This window comes from Homo sapiens, chromosome 3 (genome assembly GCF_000001405.40).
Source record: "Homo sapiens chromosome 3, GRCh38.p14 Primary Assembly".
In the NCBI taxonomy this organism is placed as follows: domain Eukaryota; kingdom Metazoa; phylum Chordata; class Mammalia; order Primates; family Hominidae; genus Homo; species Homo sapiens.
In genome coordinates, this window is record NC_000003.12 from 98,366,460 (window position 1) to 98,386,016 (window position 19,557).

The 19,557-nt window shown below is 36.0% G+C and overlaps 1 long non-coding RNA gene across 2 annotated transcripts; it reads right to left on the reverse strand.

The window, feature by feature from the left end:
* Window positions 1-1,418: 1,418 nt before the first annotated feature.
* LOC105374000 (uncharacterized) lies at window positions 1,419-2,149 on the reverse strand. 2 transcript variants are annotated; one of them, XR_924261.2, is made up of 2 exons: window positions 1,650-2,149; window positions 1,419-1,542 (listed from the first exon to the last, which is right to left on the reverse strand). It is a non-coding gene; the product is annotated as an uncharacterized LOC105374000 (long non-coding RNA). The 2 variants fall into 2 exon arrangements; XR_924262.1 differs by having other exon boundaries at window positions 1,750-1,797.
* Window positions 2,150-19,557: the final 17,408 nt, after the last annotated feature.

Below are 19,557 nucleotides of genomic sequence, written 5' to 3' on the forward strand. Positions count from 1 at the left end.
AATAAAGGTTATAAAAGGCTTATGGAAGTTATATTTTATAATCAAAATTAAATTTTATTGATTGTTTACAAAATTTTGAAAAACAAATGTAATTGGCTTCATGCTGTTTTTAATTAGAATTTTTAGTTAGAAAATTAAGTCTCCTTGCTCAAAGAATGAAGGTTTTTACTTTTTTGGAAATCCTTGAATTATCACTTTGGTTAAATGACTTTACAATGACCTGTAATCTTATTTTGTAATATCAAGTGTTTAAAACCTTTTATATTTGACAAACTTTCCAAAATCAAATTATAAATTATGTCTTTTTGTAACCTAATTAATCTTTTAAGACATTAGGCTCCTTAAAGTCCAAAAAAATGACATAGTTTGGCTTACTGGGTATAAAAATTATACAGGAAGCATTGTCAAATATGAAATAGTGTTTGGTTTTCTTTGGGCTGTATTTGTATAAATATGTTATTAGTATGTGTTCCAAAATTATAGGAAACTCCTGTAATTCTGATATAACTTATTGTACATTATCAGTAATAATCATAATCATTATGTCAAAATTAGTGAACCACAGATATAACAAATTTCCTTGTCAATTGTGTCTTTTGACTATGATTGCCTTACACCTTTTTTTTCATCCACAGACAATTGTTCTTGGAGTGTTCTTGGACATGATTGTCTTGTTTTGGTCTTGTTTAAAAGGTAGCTTTATAATCAGCTATAAAACTCCTACAGGTGCTCTTAAATGCAGGTTTCTGATAACTCTGGAGATTGTGACATCAGAATAGAGGAAAAACTTTCAGGACTCATGGAGAGCTGAAATGTTCACGGGTGGGGGTAGGGGGGCTTGCTTTGAGCTGTCTCAGCCTTACTGGATGGAACTAATGTACTTCTTACATATTGATTGCTGTCTCATGTCTCCCTAAAATATATAAAACCAAGCTGTGCCCCGACCATCTTGGGCACATGTCATCAGGACTTCCTGAGGCTGTGTCACGGGTACATCCTCAACCTTGGAAAAATAAACTTTCTAAATTAACTGAGACCTATCTCACATTTTGGGGGTTCGTAGATAAGGGAGAATCCGCTGGGTTACTAGGAAACATCTCTTGCTCTCTTCTCTCTATTTTCTGCAATCAGAAGGAGTATCTCTTCACCCTGGGCTGCCTAGAGTTGGAGGAGGGGTGATGGGTGCACCCTTGTGGCCAGCTCAGCTGGCACTGTGCAGGGTTGCACCTGGGTCTGCAGCCACTACTACCTGGCTGGCTTCAACTGATATTTATTCAAGGCTCTAGACCACATTAGTCAGCAGGTGGTGAATTCTGCCAGGACTGGGTTCATCCCATCAGGACAATGAATTTTCTTCTGTCCCAGGGTGGGTCTAGAAATGTCATTCAGGAGCAAAGCAAAGACCTAGAATCCAGGGCTTCAGGAATCTGCCTGGTGCTTTATTTTACTGGAGCTGAGCTGGTATCCATGCTGTAGGCCATAGTCCTCCACATCTTTCCCTCTCCATCCACCAAGCAGGAGTCTGTCCTGGAACTGCACTGCCTGGAGTTGGGGAGAGGTAATACAGGTGAGCCCTTGACCACTACAGCTGGTGTCACACTTGGTTACACCATATGTTCTCTGCCTCCAAGTGTATCACCAGAGCTTACCCTAAACCGTAGACCTTGTGGCCTGACTAGCACTCAAATTTTTTCCAGGCCCCAGACCACCTTAGCAAGCAAATGGAGAAGCCAAGACTCAAGATTTTACCACTGAAGCCGGGAATCTCCCTCTAGTCCAGGGCTTGTTGGAATGCTTCTTCTGTGTGAGCTGGCAGAATTCTGCTCTGTGCTATGTTCCACTGTGACAGGGCAGCACTGAGTTCCAGTGCAAAGTTCCACAATCACTTCACTCTCCCTCCCCCAAGCACACAGATTGTCTCTCCCATGCTATGCTACCTGCAGTTGAGAGAGGGGTGGTATAGACAACGCAGGTCTTTACTTCCCAAGTTCTTCAGTGCCTCTTTTCTTAATGCTATGTTTAAACCAGGTACCGAGGTCACTCACTCAATTTTTTTGTTCCTATGAAGGTACTTTCTTGTGTGGATAGTTGTTTAATTTAGTGTTTGTGTGGAGAGACAGTCACTGGAGGACTCTATTTGGTCATCTTGCTCTACCTCCCTCTACTTTTACTTTATTGATTTTGTAGCTCAAATCATTCCAATTTTGGCCACCGAAGCTATTTCCCTCGCCTCCTGTGTGCTTTTGACAAACACCCATAATTGTGTATATGGGATGTGTTTTTGTTGGTTTATTTTTGGCACTTTTTTATTGGCTGCTAGTATATCTCATATATTTCCCGCAGCATTCCTAGAATCAGCTATTTCTTTCAGAAGGCCTGGATTTTTGTAATTGGAGGATGGTATTACAAACCAGATCTGGGTGATAGATGTGCTGACTGCTTCTAGAGTATTATTGCTCTAGGTGCTCTCAGCTGTCAGAGTGAGCATATGTGTCTTCTTGCTGCTCCACATTCTTGTCAATAATTGATATTTAATTTCTTATTGTAACCATTCTAAGTATCTACTTATTGTTTTAATTTGCAATTACCTAAGGAAAAATAATGTTGAACATCTTCTCATGTTCTTATTTGCCTTCTTTATATCTTCTTTGGTCAGATGTTTGTTCAGATCTTTTACCCTTTTTTTTTTTTTTTTTTTTTTTTTGAGATGGAGTTTTGCTCTTGTCACCCAGGCTGGAGTGCAATGGCACGATCTCGGCTCACTGCAACCTCTGCCTCCCAGGTTCAAGCAATTCTCCTGCCTCAGCCTCCCAAGTAGGTGGGATTACAGGCATGCACCACCGCGCCCAGCTCATTTTTTCTATTTTTAGTAGAGATAGGGTTTCTCCATGTTGGTCAGGCTGGTCTTGAACTCCCCGACCTCAGGTGATCCACCCGCCTCAGCCTCCCAAAGTGCTGGGATTACAGGCATGAGCCACTGAACCCGGCTACCTTTTTTTAAATTGGATTGTTTCTTTGCTTATTGTTGAACTTTATATTATGTATAAAACCCTTCATCAGAAATGTGTTTGTTAAAGTTTACTTAGAGTCTACGGCTTATCTTTTGATACTCATAAAAGTGTCTTTCTCAGAGAAGATGTTTTAAATTTTAATATAACTTAAACTTACCTATTTTTTTCTTTTATGGATTGTGCTGTTGGTGTTGTATCTAAAATTCATGAGCATACTGAAGAGCACCTACATTTTCTCCTATGTTTTCTTCTGGAAGTTTTATAGTTCTAGTTTTACATTTTAGACTTATAATCCACTTTGAGTCAGCACTTGTGAAATATGTATGGTGTATGTCTAGGCTTACGTTATTTGAATATGAACATCCAAGTGTTCCAGCACCATTTGTGTAAAGATCATCCTTTATTGAAATGCCTTTGTTAGTTTGTCAAAGATTACTTGACTATAATTATGTGGGCCTATTATAGTCCATCTATTCTGTTATCTTAAACTTGTGTATATTCTTTTAATAATACCATGCTGTACTGATTACCTTAGCTTTATAGAAGTCTTGAGATCTGGTAGTGTGAGTGTTCCAACCTTGTTCTTCTTCAGTGTTGTGTTGGCTATGCTAGTCTTTTGTTTTCTCATATAAACTTTAAAATAATATTTTTAATTATCAATAATGCTACTCTGAACATTTGTGTAGAATTTTGTGTATGAGCAAGTGTTATCATTTCCCTTGGGTACATACTAGGAGTGAAATTGCTGGGTCATATGTCAACTCTGTTTACTTCTTGAGGAAATGTTTGACTGCTTTCCAAAGTAGCTGCAGTGTTGTATATTCCCAGTAGCAATATATGATTCTTCCAACTTTGCCACATCTTCAACATCTGTTATTGTCTTTCTTATTATAGCCATTAGAGTTCATGTAAACTGGTATCTAATTGTGGTTTTGATTTGCATTTCCTTGATGGCTAATAATGTTGAGCACCTTGTTATGTACTATTAGCTATTCACATCTCTTCTTTGGAAAAACAACTACTCAGATCCTTTGACATTTTTATAAAGAAGTAACTTGTAATTTTATTATTAAGTGGTAAGAGCTGTTCATTAATTATAGATATATTTCCCTTATCAAACATATGATTTTCATATATTTTATCCTATTCCATTGGTTGTCTTTTATTTTCTTGATGGCATTCTCTGAGGTAAAGTTTCTAATTTTGATGAAGTCTAGTCTATTTTTGATATGTCACTTATGCTCTTGGTGTCATATTTAAGAAAATGTTGCAAAATCCAAGGCCACAAATATTTATATCTGTGTTTCTTTTAACACATTATAGTTTTATTACTAACACATTATAGTTTTAGTTTACAAATAGGGGTCCAAACTCATTTTTTACATGTAGATTCCCTGCTGTTCCACACAATTTGTTTAGGAGACTATTCTTTCCCAACTGATTTATACTTCCATCCTTACACCAGTGCCAAACTGTTTTGATTATTTTAGATTTTTAATCATTTTGAAATCAAGAAATGTGAATCCCCAGCTTTATTTTTATTATTAAAGAAATAGACTAATAAACCAATGGAAAAGAATAGAAGCCCACAGATAAAACTGTGCATATATAATCAAAAATCTTCACAAGGGCATGAAGAATATGCACTGGGGAAAGGATAATCTACACAATGACCAATGCTTGGAAAAGTAGATATGCACATGCAAAAGAATAAAATTGGACTCTTAGGTTACATCATACACAAAAATCAGCTCAAAATGGATTAAAGACTTAAACCTGAAACTGTAAAACTCCTTAAAAATAACAAATAAGTTCCTTGATTATTTTTAAAAATCACACCAAAATCTCAAGCAAGAAAAACAAGTGAACAAACAGAATACATCAAATTAAAAACTGTCTGCACAGCAAAAAAAAAAAAAAGAAAGAAAAAGAAAAAAAAAGATTACCAAAATGAAAAGGCAAACTACCAAGTGGAAGAAAATACTTGCCTACCATGATTCAATAAGACATTGTCTAAAATATATAAGTAATCATACAAGTCAATAGGAAATAAACAAGCCAATTTAAAAATAGAAAAAGGACCTCCAAAGATATTTTTCCAAAGAGCATATACAAATGTCCAGCAAGTGTAAGAAAAGGTGCTCAGGCAAGGGTTGGTGGCTCACACCTATAATCCCAACACTCTGGGAGGCCAAGTGGGGAGGATTGCTTGAGGCTAGGAGTTCAAGATCATCCTGGACAACATGGAGAGATCCGATCTCTAAAATAAATTTTAAAAATTAGTGCTTGTGGTGGGATGTGCCTGTAGTTCCATCTACTCATGCTATTCAAGAGCCTGAGACAGGAGGATCCCTTGAGTCCAGGAGTTTGAGGCTACAATGAGTTGTGATCACACCACTTTGCTCCAACCTGGGTGACAGAGCAAGAGCCTATTTCAAAAAGAAAGAAAAGAAAGAAAGAAAGATAGAAAGAAAGAAAGAAGAAAGAAAGAGAGAGAAAGAGAGAGAAGAAAGAAAGAAAGACAGACAGAAAGAAAGAAAGAAAGAGAAAAAGAAAGAAAGGAAGGAAGGAAGGAAAAAGAAAGAGAGAGAAAAGGAAGAAAGGAGGAAAAAGGAAAGGGAGGGAAAGGGGAACAGGAAGGGAAAAGAAAGGAAAGGGAAAGGGGAAGGGAAGGGTGGTTAGTCAATATCACTAACTCTCCAGGAAATGCAAATCAAAACCACAGTGAGACATCACCTAACACCTGTTAAAATTGCTATTATAAAAAAAGACAAGAGATAACAAGTGTTGATGAAGATGAGGAGAAAGGAAAACCTTTGCACATGGTTGGTGAAAATAAAAATTGGTATAGCCATTATGTAAAACAGTAAGAATTTCCTCACAATATTAGAACTAGAACTACCGAATGACCCAGTAATCCCACTTCTGAATATTTATTCAAAGGAAATGAAATCAAAATCGTAAAGAAATACCTGCATTCTCATGGTCAAAGGGAAGGGGAAGGGAGGGGAGGCGAGGGGAGGGGAGGGGAGGGGAGGGAAGGGGACAAGGAAAGAAAGAGAAGGGGAAAGGGAAAGAAGGAAGGAGGAAAGGGGAAAGGAATAGAAAAGAAAGGAAAGAAAAGGGAAAAGGGAAAAGAAAAGAGAAAGAAAAGAAAAGAAAGAAAAAATAAAAGAAAAGAAACAAAAGAAAAGAAAAGGTGCTCAATATTACCTCCCCCTGTTCATTGATCAGTCCTCCTGCTCCAGTCCAGACAGGTTGCACTCTAGACCCAATGCTCATCCTTCCAGCAGAGACTTCCCTTTTGCTGATTTCCCTGTTAGATATTCTGTTTCCAAACTCTCCATCTTCCTCTTCATGGTTCATTCCATCATTTTACTAAAAAATCTTGACGGGCTCTTTGGCAGCCTTTGTTCACACGCGATTTATATTTTAATTTGTGTGGAAATCTAAATTTGAAATAATTGTTCTTCTGCACTCTGAAGGCATTTTTCTTTTATAGTCTAGCATGCTGTGTTGCTTTTGAGAAATTGCATGTTATTCTCATTCCCATTTCTTGATTATCTCTCTGGAAACATTAAGGAGATTTTCTTTATCCCAGGCTTAATGGCATCTCAGAATGAATATTTTTGGCATTTAAAAAATTAATTTTTCTAGATAGTGTTGGATTCCTTGCATCTGTCCTCCTTCCCTGCCTAGCTCTATTTTTTCCTGTTTTGTCTTTACTTTTTTTACTCTTTTTTTCCTTTCCCATGTCTTTACTTTTCTTTTCCTCTTTTTCTCCTGTCTTTCTCTCTCTCTATTTTTTTTTTTTTTTTTTTTTGAGACGGAGTCTCGCTCTCTCCCAGGCTGGAGTGCAGTGGCGCGATCTCCGCTCACTGCAGGCTCCGCCCCCCGGGGTTCACGCCATTCTCCTGCCTCAGCCTCCCGAGCAGCTGGGACTACAGGCACCCGCCACCACGCCCAACTAATTTTTTGTATTTTTAGTAGAGACAGGGTTTCACCGTGTTGGCCAGGATGGTCTCGATCTCCTGACTTCGTGATCCGCCCGCCTCGGCCTCCCAAAGTGCTGGGATTACAGGCGTGAGCCACCGCGCCCGGACTTTCTTTCTCTCTTACTCTTTACAAATTCAGTTTTATTTTCTCAGTGAATACAAACCTGAGAGCTCCAAATAGATACAATCCACATTAAAAAGCAGAATAAATAAACCTGTCAGTTTTCAGAATAATAAGTGTTGTCTAATAGCCTATGAAGATTATTATTTTCAAAATTATCACTATGAATTCATAGATTTTAACATGTTATCAACTTAATAAATTATAATTATTATTCTTTGACCGATAGGAGCTCAAATCAAAAATACCATATTGGTTTCTCAGTCCTTCGGATATGACCTTAGTAGTCTCTGACAGATTTCTTGTTGTCTGGTACAGATGTCAAGGCTGACAAAGTGAGACTTTGTCTCAAAAAAAAAGAAAAAATGTCTAGGCTACTCATGTGTATTTTTTTTCTGCCTCACAATGGGATATTAGATATTTTTCCAGAGGCCAATAGGTAATAATTTTCACAGTTTTCTGGTTTCTAATTTCTTTCTTTTTTTAAAAAAGAAACAAACTTTCCAAACACAAATATACACACTCTTATTTCCCCTTCTTTCTTACTCATAAGACCGTGTGTGTGTGTGTGTGTGTGTGTGTGTGTGTGTGTGTCCAAACACATATTTTGCCTTGATTTTGGCTTTTGCTCTTCATTTTTATTTTTTTTTACTTTACAAAATAACCTGTAAATTGTTACATATCAGTAGGTATTAATATTTTCCTTTTTAACACTCACATAGTACTCCACTGTGCATTTAATTAACTGTTTTTATATCTATAGATACAGAGTTTCTTTCCAATACTTTATCTGATACATCTCAATCATCACTTTATTTGTAACTTTTTGACTCTCCTTTGTTTTAGCTACATCTCTTGTACAAAGCATAGAGCTAGATTTTTTCTTTTGAAGCAAGTCCGAAAATATCTTTCTTGTAATAGTTTAGTTGAATTCATTTTTATTAACTTCAATGACTGACATGTTTAGTCCAAATTCTATCATATTATTTCATTTAATATTTATCAATGGTGTTGTATTTACTGTTTATTTATATCTTGTTTTATATAATTTTTATTTCTCCTGGTATTTCAGACAGTTTGCATTTTTGTTTTAGTTATCTTTACATTAACACCTTTATTACATACTCACTCTTCTGTGTCTGCACTTATAATGCTATTTTTGGTTTCTCTGCTTTAAATAATATTTTTTGACTACCACTAGTACTTATATTACAATCAGTGAGATTGTTCTATTTTAGCTTTCTCTCTTTACCTCTACTTATTTTGTTTTTACTTTTCATTTACTTTTTTATTATGATGCATTCATCATAATAATGATGATGCCTTACTTACAGAGATTTAAGATTTACAGAGGAGTCACAAAGATGGTATGGAGAGGTTTTATGCAGACTTCATCCAAGTTCCCTAATTTGAACATCGTACATAATCGTGACACACTTATCAAAACTAAGATGTTAATATTGTTGTAGTACCATTAACTAAAATATAGGCTTTATGTTGAACTTGAGATTTTTCCACTAATGTCATTTTCCTGTTTTGAGATCCTATTAGGAAGCCAAAGTTGTCAACTCTTCTTGGATTCCTCCAATCTATGACAGGTTCCTCTGTCTTTTCTTGCCATTCATGCCTTTGACACTTTTGAAGAGTACTGGCTACATATTTCATACAATGTCCTTTAGTTTTAGTTTGTCTGATATTTGTTCATGATTAGGCTTTTGTTAGGGATTTAAGGGAAGAATATCACAGAATGGAAGAGTCTTTGTCATTGTATCATATCTGAGGGTACATGATATCAACATGATTTACTACCGGTTTTGTTAGCCTGTATCACTTGGCTAAAGAAGGGTCTGCTACTTCATTCATTACATACATGACACTAATTCCAGGCTGCACTCAAGGGGATAGGAACTATGCTCTATTACCTAGAAACAGAACTATCAAATAATTTGTGAAAACATTATAACAGCATCCCAATATTGAATGAACATATTGGGGAGATACATTGAAACTATACAGATATCCTGTTTCTCAAAGTTTTATCCACTGGCTGACCTTGTTTTCAATAATTATAACTGTGATGCTCTAATGCTATTTTCTATTTCTCTGATTCTTTCCATATGTATAAATTGGAAAGTATAGCTTTGCTAGGTGTAAAATTCTTGGCACACACATTGTGTATGAGTTTATTGAAAATATTGATCCACAGTTATCTTACTTTGCATGTTACTGTTAGGAAGTCAGATACCAGTTTGATTTTCTTTCCTTGGAAGTGAGTTTGTATTTTCATGTGAAGGTGCATATGATTTTTCTTTATCTTAAAGTCTAACACTTTTATTAGGATGTATATTTGAGCTCACTATTCTGGATGATTTATGACAAGTGTGTTTCAATAGGCAGATTCAGGTCTTCTGTTATTTCCCAAAGTTTCTTAGATTATCATTTAAAATATTATTTCTTCTCCATTTTCTTCTTTTTTGGAAATTCCAATTTTATGTGTTGTGTATTGCCCTTGCTAATCTCATAGGCTGATCAGGTTGACTTTAATTCTTTTTATTACTTTTGGTGTTTATTTTTATTCCCCTAGTAGTTTTATTTTCTCTCTTCAACAGCCCTTATATAAATGATAGAATCTCTTACTCCTTGAAAATCTTAAAATTTAGTATTAGTTTTTTTAAATAATTACATCTGTTTCTCCAATTTATCTTTTACATTTAGCCAGTTCCCATTTTATATATTTCTTCTTGTCCATCTCTGTTCTAATTTTTTACTTTACATAAAAGATGATTTTACCTATCAGGAAGTACATGCTTAAATATAATGAATTCACGTTGTGGCATTGTGTCAGTTTTTCTCTCTATGGTTAGATTCTTTAAAAAACTTTTTGTCAAATGGAATGCTTTGATTTTCTATCTTCCTTTAATATTATTTTCATGTGGATGTAGTCTATTATTTTTCTGTTTGTTTTGAAACGCCTTTTTTCTTAGGATCATAATGATAGCTTATTCTATCAGGGATAAGGGAATAATGTATTTTGAAAGCCATTAGTTTGGGACACTATCTTTTGCTGGTACAGTGACTTGATATATTTTAATATATGGCTTATCTATGACGGTTATAAATTGCATCTTCTGATCTTGTAATTTTCTATTTTGGGTGTAGCAAATTGTTTAATCTACAGTCTCTAGGAAACAGACTCTGAGATGGAGATGTACATGTAAAAACTTGTTGAGGAATATCCTCAGGCCTATATTTATTAAGGAAAGAATAGCTGAATGTAGTCACAACAAAAGCCTTAGCCACTACTGCGGGGAAGTGAGGATTTTGGATGTCCCTTCAGAGACTGAATTGCATTAGGTGTAGGTGTTCAGGAATTTACACCTCCCATGAATAGTCATTGGTTGCAAGCTGTCCCCAAGGAAGAGATACAACTTTGATAAGACAGCTCTCTTCAGCTCAGGCCATTTCCTAGCAAGGGACTCAGTTGACAACTGCTAGCTGCTAACACTCTTGCAACATTTTTCTGTGAGCAGACTAACATCTTAAGAAACTTGCTCCCATCATCTTCTAATCTCTGTCTCAGTGCTGTAATCAATTTAACCCTGTTACCTTGTTACCCTTTCCTGACAGTGATGAAGACCATAATTGTTAAATATGGTAATGCTGTTGTTGACCCCTTGCATTGATTTACAAGACATTTTATTAAACAATCCTGAGTTAATGCTTTTTGTTTATGGATCTTATGCCAAAAATGCAAAAGGAAAATACAAAGCAGGATATGCTGTGACAACTCAATGTGAACTAACAGAAAATGTAACTCTTTCCCCAATTTAAGTCAGCCCAAAAGGCAGAGCTATAAGTTCTCACTTGGATCTGTCAGATATCTAAGGGCAAATCAGTCAACATTTCTACAGATAGTAGATATATTTTCGCGTAGTTTATAAGTTTGGTATACTATGAAAAGAAAGAGGGTTCCTCACCTTTGGTGGAACCCCCATCAAAAATGCGCCCCAAGTAGATGAGTGTCTTTCTGCTGTTTTGCTGCCTTCATAAATGGCTATTAAAATGGAAGGCCACACCCATAAAACTGAACCTGAATACCGAGAAAATACCCTAGAAGTCGTTCATGCTAAATAAACTAGTAGTGATACCACTGAGATGTTTGAAAGAAAAACACTTTGAATGAACTCCACAAAATTGATCCAAATCTATGATAATTTGTTTAATAAAGAATGCTATGAACCTGAATCAGCAAAACAAACAAAATTGGCTCTTAAAAGAATGAAATTTAATATTAAATAGGAACTGACTGAGAGCCTGAACCACTGCTTCATTCTCCCAAAGTCTTTTTTTAAAATTTAATTTTATTTTATTATTATTATACTTTAAGTTTTAGGGTACATGTGCACAATGTGCAGGTTAGTTACATATGTATACATGTGCCATGCTGGTGTGCTGCACCCATTAACTCGTCATTTCGCATTAGGTATATCTGCTAATGCTATCCCTCCCCCCTCCCCCCACCCCACAACAGTCCCCAGAGTGTGATGTTCCCCTTCCTGTGTCCATGTGTTCTCATTGTTCAATTACCACCTATGAGTGAGAACATGCGGTGTTTGGTTTTACGTCCTTGCGATAGTTTACTGAGAATGATGATTTCCAATTTCATCCATGTCCCTGCAAAGGACATGAACTCATCATTTTTTATGGCTGCATAGTATTCCATGGTGTATATGTGCCACTTTTCTTAATCCAGTCTATCATTGTTGGACATTTGGGTTGCTTCCAAGTCTTTGCTATTGTGAATACTGCTGCAATAAACATACGTGTGCATGTGTCTTTATAGCAGCATGATTTATAGTCCTTTGGGTATATACCCAGTAACGGAATGGCTGGGTCAAATGGTATTTCTAGATCTAGATCCCCGAGGAATCGCCACACTGACTTCCACAATGGTTGAACTAGTTTACAGTCCCACCAACAGTGTAAAAGTGTTCCTATTTCTCCACATCCTCTCCAGCACCTGTTGCTTCCTGACTTTTTAATGATTGCCATTCTAACTGGTGTGAGATGGTATCTCATTGTGGTTTTGATTTGCATTTCTCTGATGGCCAGTGATGGTGAGCATTTTTTCATGTGTTTTTTGGCTGCATAAATGTCTTCTTTTGAGAAGTGTCTGTTCAAGTCCTTCGCCCACTTTTTGATGGGGTTGTTTGTTTTTTTCTTGTAAATTTGTTTGAGTTCATTGTAGATTCTGGATATTAGCCCTTTGTCAGATGAGTAGGTTGCAAAAATTTTCTCCCATTTTGTAGGTTGCCTGTTCACTCTGATGGTAGTTTCTTTTGCTGTGCAGAAGCTCTTTAGCTTAATTAGATCCCATTTGTCTATTTTGTCTTTTGTTGCCATTGCTTTTGGTGTTTTAGACATGAAGTCCTTGCCCATGCCTATGTCCTGAATGGTATTGCCTAGGTTTTCTTCTAGGGTTTTTATGGTTTTAGGTCTAACGTTTAAGTCTTTAATCCATCTTGAATTAATTTTTGTATAAGGTGTAAGGAAGGGATCCAGTTTCAGCTTTCTACATATGGCTAGCCAGTCTTCCCAGCACCATTTATTAAATAGGGAATCCTTTCCCCATTGCTTGTTTTTCTCAGGTTTGTCAAAGATCAGATAGTTGTAGGTATGCGGTGTTATTTCTGAGGGCTCTGTTCTGTTCCATTGATCTATATATCTGTTTTGGTACCAGTACCATGCTGATTTGGTTACTGTAGCCTTGTAGTATAGTTTGAAGTCAGGTAGCTTGATGCCTCCAGCTTTGTTCTTTTGGCTTAGGATTGACTTGGCAATGCGGGCTCTTTTTTGGTTCCATATGAAATTTAAAGTAGTTTCTTCCAATTCTGTGAAGAAAGTCATTGGTAGCTTGATGGGGATGGCACTGAATCTATAAATTACCTTGGGCAGTATGGCCATTTTCACGTTATTGATTCTTCTAACCCATGAGCATGGAATGTTCTTCCATTTGTTTGTATCCTCTTTTATTTCATTGAGCAGTGGTTTGTAGTTCTCCTTGAAGAGGTCTTTCACCTGCCTTGTAAGTTGGATTCCTAGGTATTTTATTCTCTTTGAAGCAATTGTGAATGGGAGTTCACTCATGATTTGGTTCTCTGTTTGTCTGTTATTGGTGTATAAGAATGCTTGTCATTTTTCTACATTGATTTTGTATCCTGAGACTTTGCTGAAGTTGCTTATCAGCTTAAGGAGATTTTGGGCTGAGACAATGGGGTTTTCTAGATATACAATCATGTCATCTGCAAACAGGGACAATTTGACTTCCTCTTTTCCTAATTGAATACCCTTTATTCCCTTCTCCTGCCTAAGTGCCCTGGCCAGAACTTCCAACACTATATTGAATAGGAGTGGTGAGAGAGGGCATCCCTGTCTTGTGCCAGTTTTCAAAGGGAATGCTTCCAGTTTTTGCCGATTCAGTATGATATTGGCTGTGGGTTTGTCATAGATAGCTCTTAATATTTTGAGATATGTCCCATCAATACCTAATTTATTGAGAGTTTTTAGCATGAAGGGTTGTTGAATTTTGTCAAAGGCCTTTTCTGCATATATTGAGATAATCATGTGGTTTTTGTCTTTGGTTCTGTTTATATGCTAGATTACATGTATTGATTTGCATATATTGAACCAGCCTTGCATCCCAGGGATGAAGCCCACTTGATCATGGTGGATAAGCTTTTTGATGTGCTGGTGGATTCGGTTTGCCAGTGTTTTATTGAGGATTTTTGCATCAATGTTCATCAAGGATATTGGTCTAAAATTCTTCTGTTTTGGTTGTGTCTCTGCCCGGCTTTGGTATCAGGATTATGCTGGCCTCATAAAATGAGTTAGGGAGGATTCCCTCTTTTTCTATTGATTGGAATAGTTTCAGAAGGAATGGTACCAGTTCCTCCTTGTACCTCTGGTAGAATTCGGCTGTGTATCCATCTGGTCCTGGACTCTTTTTGGTTGGTAAGCTATTGATTATTGCCACAGTTTCAGAACCTGTTATTGGCCTATTCAGAGATTCAACTTCTTCCTGGTTTAGTCTTGGGAGGGTGTATGTGTTGAGGAATTTATCCATTTCTTCTAGATTTTCTAGTTTATTTGCGTAGAGGTGTTTGTAGTATTCTCTGATGGTGGTTTGTATTTCTGTGGGATCAGTGGTGATATCCCCTTTATGATTTTTTTATTGCATCTATTTGATTGTTCTCTCTTTTCTTCTTTATTAGTCTTGCTAGCAGTCTATCAATTTTGTTGAGCCTTTCAAAAAACCAGCTCCTAGATTCATTAATTTTTTGAAGGGTTTTTTGTGTCTCTATTTCCTTCAGTTCTGCTCTGATTTTAGTTATTTTTTGCCTTCTGCTAGCTTTTGAATGTGTTTGCTCTTGCTTTTCTAGTTCTTTTAATTGTGATGTTAGGGTGTCAATTTTGGATCTTTCCTGCTTTCTCTTGTGGGCATTTAGTGCTATAAATTTCCCTCTACACACTGCTTTGAATGTGTCCCAGAGATTCTGGTATGTTGTGTCTTTGTTCTTGTTGGTTTCAAAGACTTTAAAACTACTGCTATTAAAAACCCTATCTATACTCCTTAACTCTTCATAGTGTAGAGAAAATGGTCCAAATTTTGAAAAGAGTATTGGTGAGGTGATAATAGCTCTTGGATTGAAAAATTGGTTTATAACCAAAGTCCAGTTACAGATGGAACGTCTCTGCCACCCACTAGACCAGTGGAGCATCTACACATGGATTTCGTGCAGTTGCCACTCTCAATGGCTTACCAATATAGTCTTGTAATCGTATTTTGTTCTCAGGATGAATTGCAGCCTTTCCATGCATAAAGACCAGCTCCATAACAGTAGCAAATTAAATTACTATGGGGCATACATAGCCTTTATGGAGAATACCTGGAGAAATTTCCAGCAGTAAGGGAACTCCTTTTACTGGAAAAATTATTAAACAATGAAATAAAGTTTTACAAGTACGATGGCACTACCATTGTCCTTATCATCCCTAGTCTTCTGGAAAAATTGAATGAAAAATTATATCTTAAATCTAAGTTGCCTAAACTAACAAAATAATCTGGATTGCCTTGGCCAAAACTTTTACCACTGGCCTTAGTTGCAATCAGATCTGTGCTGAAAAGCACATGCTAACAGCTTATACAATAGTAACAGGAAGACCTATGACCTTAATTATAGAACCTCATTTATCTCTTATACTTCTAAATTCTGTATGACTAGGTATTGCAACATCTTGATGCATTATGGTGAAGAATATTTCCACCAAGTAAAGGAAGCTTTCTGTGACCCACTGACTGATGACCAGCCTTCCATAATATAGAATCTGAAGATTGGGTCTTTTAGAAATGACACCAAATAAATACTTCTCTTGAGTCTCATTGGAATGAACCATAACAAGTTCTTATCATCACTCATAAAGCTTCAGGACTTCAAGACTTGGGTTCCAGTCTCTCAGCTCAAAAGGGTTCCTCGAGATTGTTGGAACTGTATGCAACCTGGAGATCTCGAAGTAAAACTGACCAGGGAGATCTCTCCCACCAAAAGAAGATGGTATCCTTGAGGTGAACAGATTTTTAAAGATCATGGATCATAAACCTCTTCCCTGGCCTCTCATGGAACTCCAATCTTCTTTTCTCTTTTGGTTCTCACTTTTTCTTTCCATGTGTGCATTGCAAAATAATGCTATAATTGAAATTTTATAGTTTGTAGTTTCAGCAGAGATTTTAACTGAATGTTGTGTTTGCCATGCCAAATCCAAATCAATACATGAGGAAAAGAATGTTCTAGCCCATTCTTAACTGATTTTACCAGAATCCCAAATTTGACCATCTGTTTAGATTGCATTACTGATCTACGTTATGAAGTTAGAGTTCAAGACACATTAGTTCTTTTTAAAACTTTCTTAATTGATACATAATAATTGTACATATTTATGGGGTAAATGTGATATTTTGCTACACACATAGACGGTATGATGATCAATCCAGGGTATTTGGGTGCCCAACACCTTGAGCGTTTATCATTTCTTTGTGTCAAAACATGTCAAATCTTTTCTTCTAGCTATTTTAAAATATATAATAAATTATTGTTAACTATAGTCACCCTATTGTGCTAACAAACACTAGAACATTTTTTTCTGTCTAACTGCATGTTGGTATCTATTAACCAACCTCTCTTTTTCCTCCAGCCCACTCTTCCCAGCCTCTGGTGGCTATCATTCTGCTCTCTACTTTCATGAAAATCAACTTTTTTAACTTCTACATATCAATGAGAACATGTGATATTTGTCTTTCTGCACCTGGATTATTTCACTTAACATAATGACCTCTGATTCCATCCATGTTGCTGCAAAAAATGGGATTTCTTTCTTTTCAGTGGCTGAATAGTATTCCATTGTGTATATGTACCACATTTGCTTTATCCGTTCATCCCTTATGGACATTTAGGTTGAATCCATATCTTGGCTATCATGAATAGTGCTGCAATAAACACGGGGGTGCAAGTATCCCTTTGATATACTGATTTCTTTTCCTTTAAAGAAATATCCAATAATGGGAATGCTGGATCGTATAATAGTTCTATTTTTAGTTTTCTGAGAAGTCTTTCTACTGTTTTTCACATACATTTCATGTGAATGTACTAAGTTACATTCTAGCAACAGTGTAAAAGAGTTCCCTTTTCTCTGCATCCTTGCCAACATTTGAATAAGGGTGGTGTCAGTGGGCATCCTTGTCTTGTTCCAGATGTTACAAGAAAGAATTTCAGCTTTCTCCCATTCAGTGTATTAACTGTGAGTTTGTCATATATGGCCTTTAGGTTGACGTAATGTCCCTCGTTTGTCTGAGAGTTTTTATCTCGAGAAGATGTTGAGTTTTATCAGATGCTTTTTGGCATCTATTAAAATGATCATGTTTTTTGTCTTTTATTCTGTTGATATGATGTATCATGTTCCATGATGTGCATATGTTAAACATCTTTGCATCGCTGGGCTATATCCCACCTAATCATGGTATATTATATTTTTGATGTATTCTTGGACTTAGCATGCTAGTATTTTCTTGAGGATTTTTGAATCTATCTTCATCAGGGGTATTCGTTTCTACTTTTTTATAGTGTCTGTCTGTTTTTGGTACCAGAGGAACTCTTCTTGTCATAACTTAAGCCAGAATTGAAATACCAGATCCTCTGACAGTAGTCTAAGGGAGATATGCAACAGAAAGGAAAGCTTAAATAAAACTCTTTGCAAGAATGCCTATTGAGCTACATTTTGATAGCCTCTCAGTAAGTAACAACTCAGTATCAGTCCTTGGTTAGAAATTGCCAATGTCTTTATTCCAACAAATGGCTCCATAAATAATTCTTAGTAGCACTGTCAGGGTACACATTTTTATCTGTGGAAGTTTTAACAAGCAATCATATGCATGGGTCACTCCATGGCTTAACAAACGGAGAATGAAAAACTAATGCAGACTAGTGCCACTGTCACTTCATAACAAATCAGAAAATAAGCATTGGTCCTCTCCTCTAAACTTAAACTATAGATAAAAAAGGAACTTATCAGCAGGTATCAATCCCGCTGGGTGTTTCCATGGCTTCAACTAGTATAAATAAAATTTGTCATTCACATTAGCTAGTATAACTGATTCCACAACTAAGGCTATAGCTGACAAATAAAAATCTCTAGATTCTCCAGCTCAAGTTGTTTTAATTGCTTTAGATTATTTGTTGGCTAAACAAGGAGGTGTCTGCAATGGCTAATATTTCTTGTTATACCTGGATAAACACATCTGGTGTTGTAAAAATTCAATTACAAAAAAAATTAATAAGCAAGCCATCTAGTTAAGACAGGTTAAATTCTCCTCTAGTTCATTCTTTGATTTATTTGATTGTAGTTGGGTTGGTTCTTTGGGGGCTTGGCTAAGAAGCATACTTTAGTTTCTTTGTATTATTCTCTTAATAGTAACCATTCTAATCTCCCTGGTATGCTGTGTCCTCTCAAGAACCTTAAATGCATGCTCATAACCATCAACAATACACCAGATTATCTTGTTGCAGTGAGAACAAGGAAAAAGATAAACAACACAAGAAAAGTTTACTCAATGAACCTGACATCATGACTTATGAATTCCATGCTGAAACAAAGGCCAACCAGCCACGATTGTGACAGTCACACACACACACCCAAGTTTTGGCCAATCATTAATAAATAAGAGGCTGATCAGAAGGGAGGACTTATTAAAATAATTTAATAGGATGCCTTTAGCCTAAGGTGGACCCTGAGACCTAGGTTCCCATGGAAGCAAACCAAAATCTAACGTGAATGTGTTTGTCATTAAGTGACTAACTTAGAGAAAGTAAAACTTAAGTTCAACCAATCAGAAACCATCAAATAACCTCTAATTACATAACTAGGGATTGTCCACATAGGTAATTCAAATAAGGCAATTATATTACTGTAACAAACTGATCTTTTTTTTTTTTTTGACTTTCCTTCTCTATTCATCCTATAAAGCTTTTCTTTTGAGCATCCCCAGTAGACCCCCAACCACAATCCTTGGTTGGATAATGCCAGATTCATAAATTGCAATTTGTTCAAATAGCCTCAAAAGGACTAATGTGACTCAATTTAAGTTTTTTAAGTTTTCCATTAATTCCACTTCTCTTCCAACGTCATATATCTCTATTATCATAGGTCTGCTAAGTCATATTGCCCAAATGTCAGGACTGCTTAAGCCACAGCTTGAACCGTGGAGAGCCCTTTTCTGTCCTGGAACCCACTCAAAACTGTCATTATTCTCCCATTTAGACAGATGTGTCTATGAGTAGGATTTTTACAACTGTGTCAGACATTAAGAAAAGTTTTGGAAAATTTTAAAATAAGTCCTTAAATTACTGCATTACACTGCTGGACTAAGATTTTAAGAGTAATAAGCCACATATCATCACACTTATTTTGCTGAATATAAAATTATTATTACTTTAATAATAGTGCTTGTTAAACAATATTTTGTATCATTACTAAATAAAATTTTAAAATTTAATTATTTTATTTAATCTTGTACTTTCTAAATTTTTACTTTTGATGTTGTACTATACATAATAATTTAGTACAGTGACATCTATTTAATATTTACATAAGAATGTATATATATTTAAGATGTACTCCAAATGATTTTACTGATATGAATGTACAATAAAAATGGTTGTAAATCCCCCCTCTAGTGAAGCCACAAGAGTATACAACAGTTAAAACATAAGAGTAAATGAGACAATCTACGGAGAATTCTAGAATAAAAGAAGTAGGCCAAGAATACAACAGAGGGGAATAGAAGCATCATTAAGGGAAAAGAGAGAAACATGGCCCAGCA